General features: G+C 41.7%; 1 protein-coding gene across 1 annotated transcript in view, besides 3 other annotated features; it reads right to left on the reverse strand.

Moving 5' to 3' along the window:
* GPC4 (glypican 4) overlaps window positions 6,320–22,624 on the reverse strand; it is a 115,387-nt gene continuing 99,082 nt past the window's right edge. Inside the window, exons 4-9 of the mRNA NM_001448.3 lie at window positions 17,475–17,640; window positions 12,241–12,371; window positions 11,989–12,135; window positions 10,942–11,078; window positions 9,383–9,558; window positions 6,320–9,286 (exon numbers count right to left, since the gene is read on the reverse strand). Of these exons, the coding sequence (NP_001439.2) occupies window positions 9,084–9,286; window positions 9,383–9,558; window positions 10,942–11,078; window positions 11,989–12,135; window positions 12,241–12,371; window positions 17,475–17,640 (960 nt within the window). The 3' untranslated portion in view covers window positions 6,320–9,083. The remainder of the gene's footprint in view (window positions 9,287–9,382; window positions 9,559–10,941; window positions 11,079–11,988; window positions 12,136–12,240; window positions 12,372–17,474; window positions 17,641–22,624) is intronic.
* Window positions 11,593–12,093: an enhancer, noted in NCBI's record as "H3K4me1 hESC enhancer chrX:132439404-132439904 (GRCh37/hg19 assembly coordinates)". NCBI's record gives its function as "activates a minimal SCP1, AML or CMV promoter by ChIP-STARR-seq in primed H9 embryonic stem cells {active_cell/tissue: H9 hESC(primed)}" and the evidence as "EXISTENCE:reporter gene assay evidence [ECO:0000049][PMID:30033119]".
* Window positions 13,107–14,021: an enhancer, noted in NCBI's record as "OCT4-NANOG-H3K27ac-H3K4me1 hESC enhancer chrX:132440918-132441832 (GRCh37/hg19 assembly coordinates)". NCBI's record gives its function as "activates a minimal SCP1, AML or CMV promoter by ChIP-STARR-seq in naive and primed H9 embryonic stem cells {active_cell/tissue: H9 hESC(naive and primed)}" and the evidence as "EXISTENCE:reporter gene assay evidence [ECO:0000049][PMID:30033119]".
* Window positions 18,656–19,155: an enhancer, noted in NCBI's record as "H3K4me1 hESC enhancer chrX:132446467-132446966 (GRCh37/hg19 assembly coordinates)". NCBI's record gives its function as "activates a minimal SCP1, AML or CMV promoter by ChIP-STARR-seq in naive H9 embryonic stem cells {active_cell/tissue: H9 hESC(naive)}" and the evidence as "EXISTENCE:reporter gene assay evidence [ECO:0000049][PMID:30033119]".

The following is a 22,624-nucleotide window of genomic DNA, read 5'->3' on the forward strand; positions in this document are numbered from 1 at the left end:
GCCTGGCTTTTGAGGGCTTCACAGTCTCATCCCATCCTTCACCAGTCTTGTACTAGGAAACCCATCACCTCTGCCTTTCAGACACATTTCTCTTCTGCTTCCTCACTCCCCACACCCATCCCACCACCACCCCCAGACCACACTTTGTCCCACCTCCCTGCCCTTACTCTTACAATCCAAACCAGCCAGTGCTTTACTGAGTGTGGAAGGCAACCTGTAGCATCCAAGGAATAGTAAGAACTAATGATGGGTCCTGCTCACGAGAGCTCCTAGGAGAATTTCCTCCCCTCTCTTCCCTGCCTAGTCAAATTCTCCCCTCCAACCATGCCCGATTCTAGCCCTGCCTCCCCAGGAAGTCACCCTGAACTTTCCAATGTGCACCCCTCTCCCTTGACCTGCAAGACAGCTCAGAGCTCGTGATTTCACTGGCATGTTTCCTGAGGAGTCTTGTCTCCCCAATGGAGACAGAGGCCCCATCCTATGTCAAGTTTTCCTCCTGCCCTCCTATTCAAAGGCCAGGGCCAGACCTGTCATAAATCATATGATTGCCTCAAATTCCTTGTGGTTTTGGAGGCCAGACATCCAGAGCCACATGACTGCTAGCCAAGGGCTGGCCTCTCTGGACACTTTATTTTTGGAGTCCCTGTTTCAACATGACAAGCACCTTCAAATTCTTCAGTTGGATATAAATTACAACTCCCCAAAAGGAACCTGGTTGACAAACTGTGCAATGTGGGTCACACAGGGGTTCATCCAGCCCTGACTTAGGTACAGGCTGATGGTCCAAAGGGTGGGTTGAAGAGTAATGAATACCTAGCTCCAATGGCCACCTCAGATAGTGCTGCCCTCTCCCCATCCCACTCTGATTCACCTTTTGGCTCCAGGGATTTTGTTCAGCATCAGCTGATCACCAGCAGCCTAGAGTATTAAACATTTTTCTTTTCTTTTTTTTTGATACGGAGTCTCACTCTGTTGCCCAGGCTGGAGTGCAGTAGCATGATCTCGGCTCACTGCAACCTCTGCCTCCTGGGTTCAAGCGATTCTCCTGCCTCAGCCTCCCGAGTAGCTGGGATTACAGGTGTGCACCTCCCCACCCGGCTGATTTTTGTATTTTTGGTAGAGACAGGGTTTCACCATGTTGCCCAGGCTGATGTCAAACTCCTGACCTTAAGTGATCCACCCACTTCAGTCTCCAAAAGTGCTGGGATTACAGGTGTGAGCCACCATGCCTGGCCAGCATCTTTAATTTGAGCAATTACATAAATCACTGCTCATTGAGTAAGAAAGAATTCCTTTTTTTTTTTTTCAAAATGGATCGTTTACTCGTTCTGAGAGGGTAGCGTGCCTTTAGTTCTAGGAATTCACCTTCCCCACAGCCCCAATTCTATAGGTTTGAGTCTCTGTCTCTGCAGACCAGTGAGGCATCACTTGTCATTCACTTGGAGGTAAAGCCCTCAGTCCCTGCTGATTTTGCTGCTCATCTCTGGACCTTCTATCAAGGTGGAGGTCAAACCCAGAGTACAAAGCACACCTAGGTCAGGATCTTTCCCATTCTGTTCTGCACATACTGCCCTGTGGGGATGCTGGGACACATGATCAGCACACAATCAACAAGAGGTCTGGATTTCTTTCCTAGGTAGGAAGTGAGAAGTTAAAATCTCTCCTTCCTAACACACAGATTTTGTCTGTAGATGTCTTTTCTAATGTGCACTAAGACCAGTCCTGCAGGAAAAACCTATTACACTCCCCCTCTAGAATAGTGCCTGTTCATCCCTGTTCTTTGGGTCTAATCTGTGACCCAGGTGTAAACTTTAAGACGGAGTCTTGTCAAGGGCTCTTTAAGAAACCCAGATGATGTTCACTGGCCCCTACTTATCCCAAGATGTGTTTACCTCCCACACAGAGCCCCAGCTGATTAAGCAGGTATGAATTTTTCCTATGTAAACCATGATATTTTCCTCAACAAACTGTATTTCCTTAAGTGTTCAGCCTTCTCAGCACTGTCGCTGCAAGGGCACCCCCAGAACCATTCCCACAGCCTGTGAATGGGTAATTTCACATTCACAGGCTGTCCTGGAAAGGGTAGACAAGATACCTCGAGTTAATAATTATTTCTTCAGGCTGGGCGCAGTGGCTCACGCCTGTAATCCCAGCACTTTGGGAGGCAGAGGCGGGCAGATCACTTGAGATCAGGAGTTCAGGAACAGCCTGGCCTACATGGTGAAACCTTGTCTCTACACTACAAATACGAAAATTAGCTGGGCATGGTGGCGAATGCCTGTAATCCCAGCTACTCGGGAGGCTGAGGCACGAGAATCACTTGAACAGGGGAGGCAGAGTTTGCAGTGAGCCAAGGTCGTGCCACTTCACTCCAGCCTGGGCGACAGAGTGAGATTCTGCGTCGAATACTAAAATAAAATAAAATAATAAAATAAAATAAAATAAAATCGTTCTTCAAGAACCAGCACATCAATGATGGCACATAATCCGGATGCACTGGAGTTCTTTCTGCTTTGAAGTCCACAGAGCAAGGAGCCACTGTGTGAAGTCAAAAACCCTCTTCATCATCAAGATTTGCCTCCAGGTGGCCCTGGACTCCTTGGCCCATACTCAGGTCAGCCAAGTTAATCAGTGCCTCCTATGGCCATTAACCCGACCCTTCCTCAGGGGCAGGGCAGCTCTACATATGGTAAGCTTGACAAGCCTTGTCCTTTCCTAATGATTCAGACAATGTAGGGTAAGGGAAAAGCAGCAATCGAAGGAAAAGTAGCACTTGAGCAGGCTCGGCCTGATGGCAGACCCACCGATGCTTCAAATCTGGTTCTTGCATTTCTTATGTGGGTGTCACCCTTGGCCAAGTTACCCGACTTCTTTGCATCCTTTGACTCATCTATGAAATGGACTGACTTCTACTCTGCAGAATTCTGTAACAGAATTGATGTGGCCCAGCCTTAGTGCCGGGCACACAGGTTCTTCCTGCCTCACCTTTTTTTTTTTTTTTTTTTTTTTTAAGATGGAGTCTTGCTCTGTTGCCCAGGGTGGAGTGCAGTGGTGCGATCTCAGCTCACAGCAACCTCCAACTCCCAGGTTCAAGTGATTCTCCTGCCTCAGCCTCCCAAGTAGCTGGGATTATAGTTGCCCACCACCACACCTGGCTAATTTTTGTATTTTTGGTAGAGACGGGGTTTCACCATGTTGGCCAGGCTGGTCTTGAACTCCTGACATCAAGTGATCTGCCTGCCTCGGCCTCCCAAAATGTTGGTATCACATGTGTCAGCCACCAGGCCCAGCCCCTGCCTCGCTTCTCAGTCAGGAAGTTATAAGTAAATAAACAGCAAATAACTAGTTTCTTTTTAAATAATGTCTAAATGTTCATTACCGCTGCCAGATCCTGTTGCAAAGTGTTCCGAACTGAAACAGCAGAGTAAAAACCATTTGTTATGCACATTTTAAAAGAAAGGTGAGGGTGGGGGCAGTAAAGACCTTTAAAGACAAATGCACTGAAAGAGGACAGAGAGATCCTAATGTGTGTGTTCAGAAAACCACCCACTGGCTGTGATTATTTCTTTTTGGCTGACCTGGCACCAAAATGCTCTGTGCAGTGAGTCACCATGAACAGCGGGTTACAGTCAGCTTTAGGTTATCTGTGGTGATGCAGAAAAGCACACACAGGCAGTGGTAAATCTAAGAAATTCTATTTGGTCTCTGGTATGCATTTTATATATGTGTATTTTCTTTTTCTTGGCAGGAGACTTACCTTCTTAATTATGTTTCCCTTAGGCTATTATTAAAATGAGTCCACATTCCCCAAGCACACCCCTCTGACAGCCATAGGAAGGCAGCCCTTAAGTGACAGGGTAAGATCTACCTGGTATTTAGTGTTTGAAAATACACAATCACTTAATAAATCTGTGTGTAGGTTTGTGTACACATACACACACACACACACACACACACACACGCACACACACACAGGTCTTCTAATCCTACTATGCAAGAAACACAGGAATTAAGAATAACATGGAGTGGCAACAAAGTTGCTGCCAAAGGCCTCCCCAAAGACCAGAGAACAGGATCATAAAAGCCTCCTGGGGTCATCACACATATACTTTTATCTTAACTCTTTAAGCACACTTGTTATCTTTCATTAGCTTTTACCTAGTAGGATTGATGTGTGAAGATCTTTGTCTTTGCAACAACCCTGTGCTTTTTTTCAGAATTCCTAACATTTAAGAAATGTCAAAAGTAGAGTGGAATGTACATTTAATTGCACATGTGGACGCTCATGCTGAGGAATGCATTTCTTTAGATTTTACTGAACTCAGAAGTCTCTCAAACACTGATTCATTAAAAATTCAACTTTACAAGAAAACTGAAGTTGGAACAATTTATTTGCATATTCTAATGACTGAACCATTGGATGCAGTAACCAAGGTGTAGTTACACATTTTCCTAGTATCCTCATCTCCATTCTGTGTGGTGGTTGATGCTGCTTCAAGGCATCTGGACTTTTGAAAGCATTAAAAGTACTTCAAGGCCAGTGTGGTGGCTCATGCCTGTAATCCCAGCACCGTGGGAGGCCAAGGCAGGAGAACTACTTGAAGCCAGGAATTGAAGACCAGCTTGGGCAACATGGCAATACCCTGTCTTTACAAAAAAAAAAAAAAAAAAGCTGAGTATGGTGGTGTGTGCCTGTAGTCCCAGCTACTTAGGAGCCTGAGGTGGGAGGATCACTCAAGCACAGGAGTCCAAGGTTGCAGTGAGCTCTGATGATGCCACTGCACTCCAGCCCGGGTGACAGAGTAATATCCTGTCTCAAAAAAATGAATACTTTATTCTAATAGAATATGAGTAAATTCCAGGTCACAACAGCTCCTGTGAACCATTCCTAAGCATGAACAGTGGTATTAATGTGCTGTGTTCTGAGAGGATCTTCCGAACTGCTTTGGCTAATGTCTTCTGCACTGGTGATGATATGAAAACAAACTACCAAAAATAAACCTTAACAAAAACAGAAAGCATCCAAATTGTACACTCTGGGGTTATAGTGCTATAATGCCAAACTATTCCTCACTCTATTCAATGTTTGTTTCTTGAAAAACTACTTAAATTAATCTGGGCCAAAATACAGTAAAACACAACATGTGCTACCACTGAGAAGCCATGCCTTTAGAATAGGAATCCTAAACTTAATTACAGAGCCGTATCCTTAGAGTCTCCTATTCTCAATATTCAAAAAATTAACCTAAAGAAATAGGACATTATAAGCATAAAATGCTACCTTTTTGATGGGCGCAGTGGCTCATGCCTGCAATTCCAGCACTTTGGGAGGCCGAGGTGGGAAGATCACTTGAGCCCAGGAGTTTGAGACCAGCCTGGCCAACATGGTGAAATCCTGTCTCTACTAAAAATACAAAATTAGCTGGATGTGGTGGTGCACACCTGTAATCCCAGCTACTCATGAGGCTGAGGTGGGAGGATTGCTTGAGCCGGAAGGCGGAGGTTGCGGTGAGCTGAGATTGCGCCACTGCACTCTAGCCTAGGGGACACAGGGAGCCTCCGTCTCAAAAAACAAAAAACAAAGCAAAACAAAACAAAAAAAACCCCACAAACAAACAAAAATCAAACAAAAACGCTACCTTTTATATGACAAAAAGGAGTAAACTTCTATTCATATTCGCTTGTATATGCATAAATAAACTTTGGAAGAAGACATACATAAGTAAATAGTAAGAGCTTACTTGAGGTGTGGGGACAACTTGGCAGATGGAAGCAGGAATGGGAGGAAAATTCACTCAGTCTCTTGATGTATGTTCTGTTTTTTAAACCCTGTCAATATATTACCTAATTAAAAACTAAGTACACAAGTAAATATTACTTGGCATTTGGCTCATTGATAGAATAGAATTCCTGTTACCAAATGTCATCTCTCAGGTATTTTTCACATATATAAAAAGGAATTTTAGAAGAATTTTAGGAGTCAAAAATTAGAAACTGAGTTTGTGAAGTGTATCACGGTATGCAGTTATATTTTTTCCCATGAAGTTCAAAGTCAGAAGAATTTTGAGTACTTTGTTGTTGTTTCAAAAAAGGTAGAAAGTTACATTTGGCTTAGCAGTGACATTACATGTGCATGCGCGTGTGCGTGCACACGCACACACACACACACACACCCTCCTCTAGTAGATAACTGTTAGTATTTTGCCATTGAAAGTAATGGCAAAAACTGCAGTTACTTTTGCACTAACCTAATAACCTACTACCCTTTAGCTATGTAAATAGACATATTCTGCTAACAAAGGGGAAGCAGAAATTTGTGTAGCACCATTCATACCTATTTTTATTTTGATTCTGTAATCACAAATGACAATTTTTACTTCATGTGAACTGTTAGGTTTTGAACACTCAGTAACTAAACTTTAGAAATTTACGTCAATTCTTCGCAGTGTCTTTTAATCAAAATAACAGGTGCTAGTTACGATTTTTGAAATAAAATATAAATCTAAGAGTTGTAAAATCTTTAAGGTACAGAGTAGGTGATGTGTTTTAAAGAAAAATAATTTATAAATGACTTTGTAAAACACAAGCCCTTCACATGCTGTTAACTTTGGAAAAGTCAGGTCTTCTCCTAACAAGGCTTTTATTCTACTTCATACTCCAAACTCTTAAGGTTTTAAAATATTCAACTTGCCTTTCTTCTTTTTTGGGGAGTGGGGGTGAGCTTGCCAGCTGCTTAGAAGCCAAGAGTTATCCAGTCAGACCTGAATGGAAAAATCTATGATTTGTTTATTTCATAGTTGAAGTTCAAAAGCAAGAGACAATTTAAATAATAAAAGAGTAACAGGAAAAAATGCAAAGAAAGAAAACAAATCAGTAAGAGTTCAGAAGAACCTTCAAGAATACTTAATTTGGAAAATGTTATTGGTTTAGAGAATTTGACTGGAAGAAAACAGCTGGGCAGAGTTCAAGGTTTTAAATTAAAAACAATCTAACAAGGTCTATGGGGATAACTCTCTGAGCCATATTTTGGAGACCAGATTCATTTCTACCAAGTAAAAGTAATAGCAGTCTAAGCTAAAAAGGAAATTCCTCACAACTGAGGTAGTTACTAAGTATCAGCACATTTTCCAAGTTCTCACAAGGCCCCTTAGCTATTTACAATCTATTTTCCCTTATATATAAATGGAGTGCCTTTTCAATTTTATGTCTTCTGATTTGTTTTAAAAAAAAAACCACTTATACACACCAGCCAGAATATGCCTATTTTATTAACATCATGCTTTAATAAATAACTGGCTACTTCTAATAAAATTAAGCCTCTGTTTACAACAGCCCCCAATATTCCATTTTGACCACTCTGCAGAATTTGGTGTAAAAAGTTGAATGAAATGTAGACCCTGAGCTATCAAGTAATTATGTTTCAATATAAAAATAGAGAATTACTCTTACAACTGAAGATTGAACAATAACACAAACAACCTCTTTGTGGGTTTTAGGTTCGGTAAAATTAGTTGGGATCTTAATGGCTGTCTAAAGCAGGAAGAGACAGAATTTTAGTCTTTCTGAAGACTTCTGGGAACTCCTTTGAAAGTGATTTGTTACATTATCAGAGTTTTATGAGCTATCATTTGGTAAGGACACAAGGAAGGGATTCCCAAGGCAGTTGTTAGTCTTTGGCCTGGGACAACAGATATGGCCATGGCCTTTGCCACTTCACCCACGTGGCTAAAGGTCACCACTAAGATGTAGTATTCTCAGCTCTACCTACTCCCACCCCACCCCATCCCCCAAGAAAAACAACACATACAAAAATCTGGACACCTAGTTCTCCCCTAAGTGGGCTCCTTGGCTGATATCTTGGATCGTAGCACATTGCTGTGAACCATGGCAAGTCCTTTGTTTTACTGATAAGAGGGGGCTAGGTAAGAAAAAGACTCAAATGAGACACCTTATACTCTCTTAAAACAAAAACTGGGATCCCAAAACAAATGGAGATACACATGCACAGACAAAAACTTTGCCCGAGTGTTGACAGCTATTCCCTGAGCCCAGGCTGTACCCCAGTTCTGGCTAGCTCTCAGACAGCTCCCTGTACATAATTGGGTTTGAAATCTCGACCACTCTAACAAAGGATATTAATTCAAATAGGGTCAGTGTGAACATGAAAACTAGCACAGGGTGGGCTAGCTAACCTGCCTGGTTTTAAAAAAAAACACCCCTAAACCCAAGTGTGAACATGTGATAACTGGGACATCCTGAATGCTTTCTATCTTTCAAGGGGGATGATATCCAGAATCTTTTTCTAAATGGGTTACATTTTATGTATAAGTGGGTTCAAGAAATGGACCTATAGTGATCTTAGCTTATGTAATTCAACTCATTCAAAGCAGTAGTCTGCAGTCTCTTCCAACTATCACCAATAAATGAAGTACACATAACCTCCTTCTTGGATTGATGCTTTGAATACAATCTGACAAGTGGCTCAGAAGCCTGCTTGTGCCCTCACATTCTGTCTTAATAATAATTTAAAAAAAAGAAAATCACCTCCACGTCTCTCCAGATAAGGCAACTAAAATAACAGGGAGAAATGGAAATTTTACTGCTTTTTGGGCTTTTTCTTTTAATAAGATAACATGATAAATAAAACCTGCTTCTGTACAGCTATTTAATATTTCAGAAATACGTACATGTTACGTGCCAAGAAGGGACCCTGGTTTGCTTGTAAGAAACAAGGCGAGATCACAGTTGGAAAAAAAAACCCACAAACGAAATGAGAAAAAAACATACAAACAAATAATAGAGTGATAAAATCACAAATGCACAACTAACTATAGTTCTGTACCTACACTGTTAGCCACGTTTAACATGGTTTGGGGGAGCAGGAACCAACTCAATGCACAGTCCCTTTTCCTCCCAAAACTGAATGAGAAAACAAAGTCAGCACTTCTTAAACCAGTGGCCACATAGTAAAAACTGTACATTGTTGTCCATTCATTTAAAAAGCAAAGTCACTAGGATGGTAGAAAAGTGATAACTGGTGCCTTTTAACTTTTTGATGAACACTTTTTCTCAGAGTTTGAGAATTATCTCCACTCTCTCTGCATAACCAGGAACAAGATGCAGAAGACAGTGAGGAGGTAGGCCTGTGCCCCAGGACGGACACCAGCACTGTCGGCTTTCTCATTGGCACTCTTCCCAGCATGGTCAGTGGCATTGTAGTCAAACTCTGAAGGGCACTGCTGATACTCACAGCCACTTCCACTTCCTTCTCCACTACTTTCATCACCTAGTTTAAAAAAAAATGGAATAGAAATTTCATTCCACTTGTTCTCATCAGAAGACATACAAGAGCAATTCGTACTTTCAAACCACAAATGCTTACTGATATCAAAGAAGTCCACGTCGTTCCCATTGTATGCATTCTTCATCTTGCTGGTCATCACTCGAAGAGCCATGATTTGACGAAGGATCAGTATGTCTGGTTTGCTGGTGTCAACCTGGACCTCTGGGTTGTTGCCCTGGTTGGCTAATCCATTTCCTGTCACTGCAAACAGGTACCTGGAATGTAAAATGACCCCAGTAAGATGATTCGTAAAGCGAAAAGATTTTATCTGTCTGCCTCCCAAAGTGCTGGGATTACAGGCGTGAAGATTATGAAGATTATACAAGAGGTTATCAAATACTTCTGCTAGATTCTAGTATTTCCACTAAGCAAAATTAGATGGAAGTTCTTTAATTCCTAATGAACTCTAATCTTTCTTGTTCCTGTGGATTCCTCATTTCTCCAATTTGATGGAAACCTTCTTCAAAGCTATCACAGCACTTTTGGAGGCTAAGGTGGGTGGATCACTTGAGGTCAGGCATTCGAGACCAACCTGGCCAACATAGCGAAACCCTGTCTCTACTAAAAATATGAAAATGAGCCGGGTGTGGTGGTGTGTGCCTGTAATCCCAGATACTCAGGAAGCTGACACAGGAGAATCACTTGAACCCAGGAGGCGAAGGTTGCAGTGAGCCAAGGTTGCACCACTGCATTCCAGCAGCTGAGATTGCAGTGAGGTTGCAATGAGCCAAGATTGTGCCACTGAATTCTAGCAGGGTGACAGTGATACTCTGTTGGAGGAAGGAAGGAAGGAAGGAAGGAAGGAAGGAAGGAAGGAAGGAAGGAAGGAAGCTAGCTATCCCTCTTGAGGAGGATGGTGGGTTGAAGTAAAGAAGTATGGGTACTGGCTGGGTGCGGTGGCTCACACCTGTAATCCCAGCACTTTGGGAGGCTGAGGCAGGCGGATCACAAGGTCAGGAGATCAAGACCATCCTGGCTAACATGGTGAAACCCTGTCACTACTAAAAATACAAAAAAAAAAAAATTAGCCAGGCATGGTGGCAGGCACCTGTAGTCCTAGCTACTCAGGAGACTGAGGCAGGAGAATCACTTGAACCCGGGAGGTGGAGGTTGCAGTGAGCCGAGATTGTGCCACTACACTCCAGCTTGGGCAAAAGAGCGAGACTCCATCTCAAACAAGCAAACAAAAAAAAGTATGGGTACTTCTCTAAGTTACTGAGCGTCTAAGGGAGGGACACAGGGCATCAAGTCAGAGAATGGAACCTTTGAGAACTGGTTATTTATGAGGCTAGGCCATTGGACAAAGAGCCACAGGCATTAAATATTTTAAAAATAATGACACTATTGGAACAGCCCTAATACGAGACTATAACTACTGTCAAACTTTTGACTCAGCACTCTTTGTAAGTAACTGGGTGCCTTCTCAACACTCCTAGTGCAAAGCCTGTTCCTAAGAACACCTAGAAGCCTTCCATGTTGTTGCTACCTACTGTGAATTGCTTCCTGATGCCTCGGTTGACAATTGAGAGAACCCTCTCTGAAGGTCACCCAGGCATCTAGGAAGGGAGAAACTTCAAATTCATTCAACAGACACTAACCTGCTTTTGCCTTTCCCATTCCAACAGTCATCCTCATTGCCGTTTCCTGCAGCCATCCTCTCATCGTTGCAAACGTTGCTCGGAAGGGAGGACCAGAATTTCTTGGCCTGTTTCAGTTTCTCCTTGACATCAGTAACCTAATTATGAAACAACAACAACAAAAAAAGATCATTGTAAGACAAGACAAAACTACCTACAAGTGTGCCTTCTGGCCATTTCCAAAGTATCTCCAGAGTGATATGCAATTCATTTTCAACTTTAATTAGAAGAGGAAGATGCAACTCCAATTTATATCTTAGAAGTACAAAACCACTCAAATAATAGTTGAAATGCAAGCTCCAAAGGAGTGGCCTAGACCCCTTGCCCACCTCATTGTAAGTACCATCTGAGGCCTACCAGTCTCCATGCCCTGTAGGCACAAAGATAACATGCAGTCTCTTCTCCTAAGGCTTTTAGAGTCAGGATCAAGCATGTATATTATGCACTCTGTGAAACATAGCTGCTATTGCTCTTTCTCTCCATCCCTGTCTCCTCAGGCTCCCTCTTCTGTGTTCCTACTACTGTAGGAATAGTTTCTTACATTTTTGTAGCATATTACTGTGGATAAAGCAATTTGCCTACAGTTACTCACTTTTCTCCCATCTCAGCTTTTACTAAACATCATTTTATGTTAATAAGCCTGGAACATCTACTTCTCCCTCTTTGCCTCCTTGTTGGTGCCTTTTGAGAACAAGGATCTGCCTTATTTCTCTGAGCTTCTCTATGCCTAGCACAGTGATGGGCACATAGTAGATGTTCAATAAATGCATGGTGAATCTAAAGAGAAATTTTGAGACAAGACTTATTGCATCATAACTCCTTGGCTACCCAAGAACTTTCTGGGCTAGAAAATGGGACAGGCAGATTGACTGACATCCACATCCTATTTGCTTGAAAAGTGACACCTGAAAGACCCACACTTGTTAGCCTTCCAGCTAAAAATTCATTTTGAGCAAGAGTTTTCAGTTCTTTGTCATTAAACACGGCCCTTCCTGCCAAAACGCTCACCAGTCGGTCCAAACTAGTGCCAGCTGCTGTGGTTGGGCGTTCCTCGGGGTGATGTGGTCTGAAGCGAGCACTGAAGGCACTTTCAGAGATGGAACGAGAAATTCGTCCAGCTGGGAGGGGCTTGGGGGGTCCACATCCCTGGAAAACCTGCATTAGAGTAAGTGTCGTCATGTTAGGGAAGTCACTCCCAAGGCGGGAGGCGGAGGCGGGGGAGGTCCCTAGCTCCCCTTTCCAGCATCCTGCCTTCATTACCTTCTGAGACACTTGAACACTATTATCCTGCATGTTCATAATAGCATCAGAAATCTTCACATCGATGGGATCCATGACCGATTCAATGTTGAAAGGACCCTCTAGCCTCTCTGCCACCATCAGCATAGCATCTAATATGAGGTTTGGGGAAGAACAATACAGCATAAAAAGTCAATCATTAGTTTGGCCTTGGGTAAATCAATCTGATTTTTTTTTCTGTCTGTTTCCTGCATGGGGGCAGGGGAAGTAAGGCATGGATCATAATGAATTCTTGTTTTTATGTCTATTTCCCTTACACCAAACTGCATTTAGTCACTATGTATCACTAGCTCTCTAAAGTGTGAAATGGCCAGATGAAGGCTTAGTTCTACAGCAAGGAAACCCAATCAGGAACTTTCCTCAATACTGATTATTCGTGTGTCAGCCACTGTCACTGTAAGGCTCTTAGTTAGCTCCCAGATGACAAACCTAAGGCTGGAGACAAAATAACATGCCAGCTCTCCCAGAGACTTCCCTAGGATCTTCTCGTTTCACATTCCATTTACAAGAGTCAAAAACATAAATCAGTTAAGATGCTGGCATATTAATTCTTTTCTTTTGTTTTTAAAAACAAAACCCCTCAGATCCTTGAGTGCACCGTTGGATAATACAAATGAAAGGGTTCCTAGGAATTCTAATGACTTTTCAAATACTAAAACTTTGAATAATCCAATTTTTGTATTAAGAAAAACTTCTCATTGCAAATACAATGGCTTCAATTTATCTTAAGGCATGTACCTCCTTTTTTTTGCAAGTGAGAAGATGACACAAGATACAGTACACAAAATTAGTGGGCTCACAGTATATATCTTCACCGATTATCCTGCTTTAGACTCTGGAGTAGCATGGCATTTTCCAGTAAGCACTGAATCGCTTCAATAAAATACATTGTCTTTGTTTTCTTGCCATATATGTTTCTTAGGATTATGAGGCTTAGTATTTTTGCCTGCTACCTGTTTTACAAAATTAGAAGAACTTGGAAATGAAAACCCCAAATGACAAAAAGGATGCTTCATTAACGACAAACAGTGAACTTTTAAACTTGTTTATCCCCCCTTTACACTCTAGTGCTTAGTGCATGGCAAGAAAGGAGTTAGACCCACATTATCTATCATCTTCAGGTAGTGCAAGGATGGTTACTTGAAAGAAGAGCTAGTTCCCGGAAGATTGTGTCCTACCCAAAGAACACAGCTGACAATTGCAGCCCCCAGCTGAGCTTCTATCTAAGCTTTCTAGTGGAAAGCAGCATAGGCATCAGCATATCAATGAAACCAAATCTAGTCATCAAGCTTTCACCTTCAACCTAGAACAAATGCTACACAACATTTTAATGCACGGGGTCATTTCTCTAAACTACAATTCCGATGTCACAAACCACAAATAGATTTCCATGAAATGCAATTTTTAAAACAGTAATAACAAATGAAGTTTCAGAATGCATTGTGGTAAGCGCCAATCAAGTGATGCTTCTAACTCTAAGTAAGGGCTGAAAGCATGAATATACCATTGTACTACAGGAGAGAAAAAAAATGCTTTTGATGTGCTAGCAAAAGGAGACTTTTGTAAACAAGTGGAGCACAACTTAAATGTGTTCATCATTGTCAAATCATCAGGGCTGCCACGTACAGAAAGCACATTCCTTCGTAAGCTGAGAAGAAATCACCTGCTCCCAATAAAAATATTATGAATAGACAGAAAATAAACATCTAAAATGCAGACGTTTAAATAACAACAACAACAACAACAACAAAACCCAGTGCATTTTGTAACTCCTTATTCCCCTAGTGGCAAGGAATGGCCAGATCACTAATGTGTTTGTGAAAGACTGAAAGGAAACATAAACCCCAATTCTTCTGGCTGTTTGGCGTCTTTGTAAACTCTGAGCCAGCCGGCTATACACAAGAGCCTGGGAATGGAGGGGGAAGCTGGGCCTTTGTTGGGGCCGGTGCCATGGTGTTGTGTGTTGCGCAGCTGAAGAATGCAACTGAAGAGCATTCTGCCTGCACTCTGCAGCCCGGGAGCCAAAGCTGCCTCTAACCCCTGGAGGAAGTCATGATTGGCTATCAATTGGCTCTTCTGTAACAGCAGCCAGCCCTGATAAGAAGCCTCAAGAGAAAGCCAAAGATGATTGGTTTGGAGTTTGGGTTTTCTTCTGGCTGATACGAGCCACGGAGGCCCTTGTTTGCGGGATATCTGACTGGCTCCTGCCTCCTGCCAGGACCTGGCTGGTGTCCCCGCCAGCAATCCCAATACTAAATTCCCACTGGCAGCAACATGCGACATTAATAGGGTTGGCCCTGAGTCAAATGAGTGTTAACACAGCTACAGTATGTGATGGAGAACAAGTTGCATAGCATAATTTATGATTCTCCAGAAACTGACTTTTGTTGGTGGGGGCAAGGGAGGTATTTGGTTTATATTTCCAAGTGAAGGTTTCATATAAACCAGCGTCTTATAAAACCAAGTTCTAAGGTGTTTTAACTATTTGGATCCATCCTGATAAAAGGCTGACAAGACTTCAACATTTACTAAAGGGTCTCAATTCATGGCCAGTTGCAGATGCAGTTAAGAGAGGAGAGGAAGAGCATGGCAACAAGAAGACGGATTTGGAAAACCAGTTCATCCTTAGTCTCTTAAAGGGTCTAGTCCAACTGCATTATTTCAGTGCTCAAGACACTGGCACTGAGTTTCCCCCCATACCCCCAGCAACAAAGCATCCCCTTCTCACTAGGGAAAGCGATTCCTTTTGCATTGTGCTGCCAATAATCAGAAACCCACATCTTCAGCCTCCCGACCTGACTGGAAGAACAAAAGGCAGTTTCCCGACTTAACCCCAAGATCTGATTTAAAGAAGGGGGAAAAAGCCCTTGACCATTCATTAGCTGCAGTCATTTAAAGGGGAAAGAAAAATTCCTTGCAAACAGAAAAAAAAAAAAAGAGAGAGAGACAAGAAATAAAAAAAGAATTTACAGCAGAGGCATGTAAATTGGGACTGAATTCTACAACCACAAAGCAGATTAATTAAACCCTTGTGAAAAATTCATGAAAAAGCACTGGAGATTAACAATGTCTATTACTCCTGGTCTTTTATATCTGCTTATTAGAAATAAAGAATAGTATACCCATTAAAAACAAAGTTTAGATACAATTATATACCTCATCCCTCCAAAAAGTTATCACTTAAAATAACTAGGGAAAAATCGATTCAGAAATCCTATCAACTTCTACTTGGGTTTGTTTCTTCAAAGATAACAAATGTAATTTTAAAAATGCCCAACAAGAACAACAACAGCAACTTAAGTCCTCTTTGTTTTCGAGTAACTGATTTAAAACATCAATAAAGAAAGCCAGAGTGTGGTTTTGATTTGATATGGACCTGTAAACTCCAGGAAAAACACGTAGGAGCATTTGTATTTTAATATAAGGATATGAGTTTAGTTATAGTTGCTGCTAGACATGTTAGAGTATCAAAATAGTGGCAAGGGCCATGCCCTTCTGCATTCCATTCCCAATGTGTCTGTAGAAAAGTCAGCAGAATTCGATCACTGTCACCATACACTTTTTTGTACCATATGGCAAATTCTACTACCTTGCCTGGAGAAACAGTGAATTATAGGGGCAATTGAAAAGGATCACCAACTTTCTTTAAAAATTCAATTTTGCAAAAGTGAACTGCAAACTTGACATTTGGGTGTGGGGATGAGTGTGGGATTAAAGAGAGAGAGAGAAAACAAAAACAGCGACTTTAGATCTGGAAATTCTATGGGTTTTTACTTCCATGAGAAATATTTTGAATCAACAATTTCTCCCATGGCTTCATTCTGGGCATGATGTGCCATTTGGCCTGTATGTCTTTGCTGGTCTTATGCCTTCCCTTTCATGAGATTCTGCTTTTCTGTGTGTAGAAGATTTTTTCAGGTCTTCTAGCTTTGAGCTATTTAGGCTACAATTGTGCTGAAGTGCTTAATATTCACATCTTTTTTTATCCCCCTGTGTCAGTGTTCTTAAGAATCTGTTGGAGCCAATTTATTGATGCACTTTCAAACGGAGTTAATATGGTAATTAGCTCTCACACAGACTAAAAAGCATTCCCCAACATTAACACCCCTCACCTCCCCCCAAAAAACCAAGCCAGAATACTGCATACATGTTCCCATGATTTGGACAAATAAGTGAAAAACAGGTGCTTATAAAGACACTCAAATTCGGCAATTATGCAAAGGTGACTAGGGTGGGGAAAAATGTGAGTTTCTTTTTGTGAGCTGTTAGTATGTGTGTGCGGTCCTACTAATACTCAGCATAAGGAACTTCAACACTGGTTACTGTTGCTTCAGGCATCAAGGTAATTGACAACTGGACATTTAAATTCTCCTTAATTTGTCCTTTCCCCAAAATCATAACTAACCCTCTCTGCAATTGGCCACTTCATTTACATTGCTGTCTGGGTTCTGAGAATGGTTTTCTAGGTGGAATATATATGCAGGAATATGTATCCCTTAAATTCTCAGGGCTAAAGTCCTTCCACTCTCACCAGAGCAGACTACTACTGCTAAATGGTGTACAGAAACAGAATCCCTGAATTTCTCAATCAGATTTCACCTGATCCAAATAACAAATGCGTATCTGGCCGGTTTGCAGAAGATTTAGTTGCAGTGTAATAGATATAACATTTTAAAAGCCACTTTTACAACTCCATGAGGACTGTACTCCAGCATTTACATGGATACAAGCCTATAATCATAAACACAACTGACTTTCAGGCGGGAAATATCAAAAAGACACTTTCTCAGTGAGTGGCTCATGCCTATAATCCCAGGGCTTTTGGGGGGCTGAGGGTGAGAGGATCGCTTGAACCCAGGAGTTTCAGGTTACACAGAGCTATGATTGTGCTGCTATACTCCAGCCTAGGTGACAGAAAGAGACTCTGTCTCCAAGAAAAAGGCATTTTCTCATTATTAAAACCTGGCAGCCACTGTATCTATTACCTTCAGAAATGCCACCATTAGTTTGAGGGAACATTCACTTGCAGTAATGTTTTTACTATTCTCAAAGTAGTTGAGCGTAGTCAGGATTCTGACAAACACTAAATAGCAAACACTTAAACAAACAAATTTCATAGCTGCCAATTACAACATTCCTTGTGACTGGAAGCTAAGCTATCTCCAGCAACACAAATATGTTAACCACTTGCTCACCTATGAAATTGTTCCATTCAAAATCGAGATCCCCTTGGTTGGCCAAACAGCCTCTCATGATGTTTGAGCAGTAGTTGTAACATGGCTTCACAGTCACGAGACCCCGGCAGTGGGAGCAGTAGATCATCTTCAACAGGGCATGGGTACACTGGGCTGTGGGGTTTACCTAATGTGTGAAAAGAAAAAAAGACAGTAGTGGCGGGGCTAAAATAGAGACAGAAATTGCTTCTATCACATTGACACTGAAGGCTTGGCCATGAACTTAAGAATGAGTTGTGATTGATCACAATTAGTAAGCCTGGACTGCCTCCTGAAGACATAGATTAGATAAAAGATACATGTTGGGACAGGGGAGAGGAGGGAGATGACCCAAAACAAACAAGGTGCACCAACTCCCACCCTGTAAACACCCATTCCTCCCCCACCCCCTTCCCTCCTGGAGTCTCTCTCTCACACACACATAAATTGCTCAATTATCTCAAAATCCTTTTACAAATAACTATGCAGGGTGAGCCATGAGATGCAGTGGAGGAGACTATCTTCATGTGCCCACCATGCACGTCCTGCTAATAGCCTCAACCATCAGTGTTTGTCTTTGCCAGACTGGAACAGAAGCACATCTTCTTCTGCATTACATTGACTACAAGGCTGTCCTTTGAACCCTAACCCCAAATTAAGGTTTAGAAGGGTACCTACGGTGTCTTCTGTTCTGTGCCAAGAGCTGTGCAGAAGGCAAAGTTAATATATTCTACAAGGCAGAATATGAGTAATCTTAAACTTAGGGGGTGTGTGAAGGTTTTCCAAGGCTTGGGAGTACTAAAGCACAGAGTGTTCACAGAACACTTGATGAAAGAGGTGGGGCTTTGGTTAAATTTTCGAGAAAGGGGCTGGACTTAAGTGGTCAAACAAAGGGAGAGCATCCTGAGTTAAGTTCAATGAAATGAACAAAACCTGTAGGAGAGTACAGGACATGTCACTGCATCTCAGAATGGGGTTGGGGAATTGCGGGAAATAAGGTCAGGTGCACAGGAGTATGCGTGTGGCCAGAATTTAGAGGGGCTTAAACATCAGGCAGAAACTGGGATACCAGTTGCCAGGCACGGTGGCTCACGCCTGTAATCTCAGCATTTTGGGAGGCCGAAGTGGGCGGATCACAAGGTCAGGAGTTCGAGACCAGCCTTGCCAGCATGGTGAAACCCCGTTTCTACTAAAAATACAAAAATTAGCCGGGCATGGTGGTGTGTGCCTGTAGTCCCAGCTACTCAGGAGGCTGAGGCAGAAGAATTGCTTGAACCTGGGAGACGGAGGTTGCAGCGAGCCGAGATCTCACCACTACACTCCAGCCTGTGTGACAGAGTGAGACTCTGTCTCAAAAGAAAGAAAGAAAGGAAGAAAGGAAGAAGGAAAGGAAAGGAAAGGAAGAAAGAAAAAGAAAGAAAGGAAGAAAGGAGAAACAAACAAACAGGGACACCATATGGCAGGACACATGGGGCTATGACTGGAAGTTTGTGAGGAAGGAAAGGAAGAAAGACAGAAACATTACCCAAGTCAGATTGGGCTGGCTGTCCTCTCCAGAGAAATGGGACTTCATTTCATCTAGTTTTATAAAGTGAAATTATTTGGGGTGTAGAAGAGCTGATTCCATCCGGTCACTTGTTTTCCTCAATGCTTAGAAAGGATTGGGGCTAGGTATAGCATTCTAGCAGCTAATTAAAAGTTCCTGTCTCCTCTTTCTCTCTGCCCCACCCTCCTCTTTTGGAGTCAGTATCAGAGGATTAGTGCATTCTTCTGTGTAAGTACCCACCAGTTCTGCTAACACAGACTTTTGGAGGCAGATACCACCACAGGGAAGAGATGCTGGGATGCAGGGCAGCCCGGCAATGCACTTCACCTGCTCTGGAGTGTTACTTTGGATATCACTTATCAGCAGTGCCCTTAGGAACAGGAACAGGGGATTAGTGGTGTCAGGAGAAAAAAAACAGTCAGGCTCCTACGTGATGCATGTGCACATCCATTCCCCTCATCCCAAACAAGGCTCTAGCCTAAAAGGGGGGAATACGTGTAACAATAAAATGGTAATTGTATACACTGCCCTACCAAGAATTAAGATTTTTCCACAGTTTTAACCATTCCCAAATGTTTTCCTAGGCACTAAATTAGTCCTAACTATGTATTAATGTACAGTAAAATTTTGGCTAACCAATATACCCTGGAGGAATGGCCTTTTCTGGATAGCCAGATTTGCTGGACAGCTGAAAGTTCATTCCTTTAAAGTCACAGATTGTTAAGACTTCCCTACATGTCCCCCTCTCCTTTTGTAAAGGAGCAAACAGGACTGGAGGGGGGAGGTGGCCTGAGAAGCATAGGATCACAGAAGTCTTAGAGTTGGAAGGGACCAGAGAGATCACTGAGTGTTGCTCTCACATTTGATAGATAAGAAAAACCAAGCCAAAGCCAAAGAGATTAAGCAACTTGCTGACAGTCACCTCACAACATCGGATTCCAGTACTATACCTTATCAAGCATTTGTGATGAAAAGATTTCCCAGATGTATCACGTTTCCCTGCCAGATGACAGGAAACTGTAATCTTAGGCACTGGTTATTTCCTACTTTAGTTTTAGTTGGGTTCCACATTGATGAGACTGCAAAATGGCTAGATTTTAAAGAGGTAAAAGTTATGCAAGTGGCTATGAAATGAAAAATCACTGAATAGCACGTGGCATTTGTTGAATATTATGCTTAAGAGGAGACAATGCCCTCGTAAGAAGAAACGTAGAAAGCTAAGGGGTCAACAAATAGTTACTGAGCACCTACTATGTGCCAGGGATTATTCTGGAATGCATTTGAATTTAGGTAACAAGGCAAGTTAAGAATTTCTATATTAGAATACAAAACCTGTTCTACAAAATACAAAGCAATTCCAATGTGGTACAGGACTTTAGGAAATGAGCAAAAATTTTAGACCCAAAATAGTTATATTCAGAAAACACTTCTTTTTTCAAAGAAGTCCTTTCTCATTCTTTTAAAAAATAACTCTAGGAAGTGGTTCATTGTATTCTTAGTTCAATTGCAAGTCAAATCATTTATGCAACAGACCTTGTAGTACCCTCCCCTAAAATAGGCTGATGGAGGCTCAAGTTTTAAAAAGAGACCAAACTAAATGACACAGTAGAGTTTTATTAAGGGAAATTATGATGCTGAGTTTGGCAGAGTTCTTCCATTTCATTATTTGGCTAAGTGCTGGCTCATGCTCTGTACATGATTTGTTGTGTAACTACTAAAAATGGTCACAGGCAACTCAGCTACAACATGCTAGGGAAACACTAAATAATACCAGAACTGAAAAGAGAGATGAGGAAGTTATAAGAAAAATGGAAAGAGAAAGGACATATAAAATATCAAAGTTAGGAAAAAAAATCTGTCTTTTGTCTCATAACCACTAGTCAGACCACCATGCACTATTTCACATGAAGGGAATTCAGAATCTGGGAAGCAAATCCGTTTTAGTGGGATGAGGCCCTAATATAAAGGGAAGAGTTTTAAAACAGTCACGAGACCTAAAGAAACAGGTCTCCCCTGCAAAGTCTCATCCCCCTAGAAGAAACAGCAATAATGCTAGCACTGCCCAGGCCTTTGGTCCCCACCCTTGTCGACCTGCCCAGGCTCAGAACAGTGAGCCCAGAGTGTCAAGGACTCTGGACTACCCTAGTGAGTAAACAAAATGGTTGCCTCTCTTTTGGAGTCTTTAAGAGCCAAAAGTATGCCACCACCATGGAAGAAAAAGCTACACAGTATATGGCACATGTTGAGTAGCCTTTATCAAAAGTGCTTGGGACAAGAAGTGTTTGGGTTTTTTTTTTTTTTTGGATTTTGGAATATTTGCATTATAATTATGGTTTGAGCATCCCTAAACCGAACACCCAAAATCTGAAATGCTCCAGTGAGCATTTCTTTAAGCATCAGGTTGGTATTCAAAAAGTTTCAGATTTAGAGCATTTCGGATCTTAAATTTTCAGATTTGGCATGTTCAATCTGCAACTTTAATTTAAGTTCTCTCGTGGAGCTTCTGGTGAAAGTCCAAGATCTTCTGGATCCAGTGGTGGCACTTACTGTCACATGGTAATATACCAGGCACTGCTGGGGGCTCTTTCATTAGCTCTCAATGGTCTCTCCACACTATTAGGGGCAAATCTCTCACCCTTAAGCAAACATAACAGTGGACTAAGTCAGACTTTGTTCTGGGGCTTTATTCATTTTGAATAGAAATTCAAGTTCATTCAACATTCTACTCCCTGGTAACCCTCAAAATCAATTACTTCTTTTGAGTCTTCCAAAACTTATTTGCTGAAGTAGATTTATTCCGTAAGACCCAAAACCAAGCAGTAGATCATGCCACACAGGGATTAACGAAAAGGTCTTCCTTTAATCTTCAGTTATGTATTTATTCTCCATGGCATGGCATGGTGTGCCACTTAAATTGTTCAATTTGATTGCTACCTTGGGGCACAGCTCTTGACTAACATTTGATATGTTTTTTTCTTTTATTTAGAAGGGTTGGTTGAGCCTAGATATTAGTAAGTTCCAGAATCCTTGGGGCTGGGGTAAGAGCAGGGGTAGGAGTTATGACTACTTTTTACGAAAGTCACATTTTTCAGACCTCTCTTAATGATTTAATAGTTATTTATTAAAATCATATGAAGAAATGGGAAAAGAAAAACTGTACACTCCTCCCTTCCCCCTTTAAATAAAAAGAATGGTTTAATGATCTCTTAAAGAAAATGCTTATTTAGCTTTTATGGTTTCGTGGTCATGAGGGTTTTGATGTCAAGATTCAAGAGAAAATTTTTCTGTTCTATGGCAGAGTTACTACTGATAGATTTTACTGGATTTTATTGGTTTCTATGATACATTTACACAGTATTTAGTATGTGCCAGGTTCTATTCTCAGTACTCTACATGTATTAACTCATTTAAGCCTCAAAATAATCACATAACATGAGTATTATCTCATTTCACAGATGAGGAAGTGGAGCCCCAAAGAGATTAAGGGACTCACACAAGGTCTTCCAGTAAATGGCCAAACCAGGATTTGAATCTAGGCAATTTGGTTCCAGAGTAGGTGTACTTGACTTCCATGCTATGTACCTAA

Source organism: Homo sapiens, chromosome X, assembly GCF_000001405.40.
Source record: "Homo sapiens chromosome X, GRCh38.p14 Primary Assembly".
Lineage (NCBI taxonomy): Eukaryota > Metazoa > Chordata > Mammalia > Primates > Hominidae > Homo > Homo sapiens.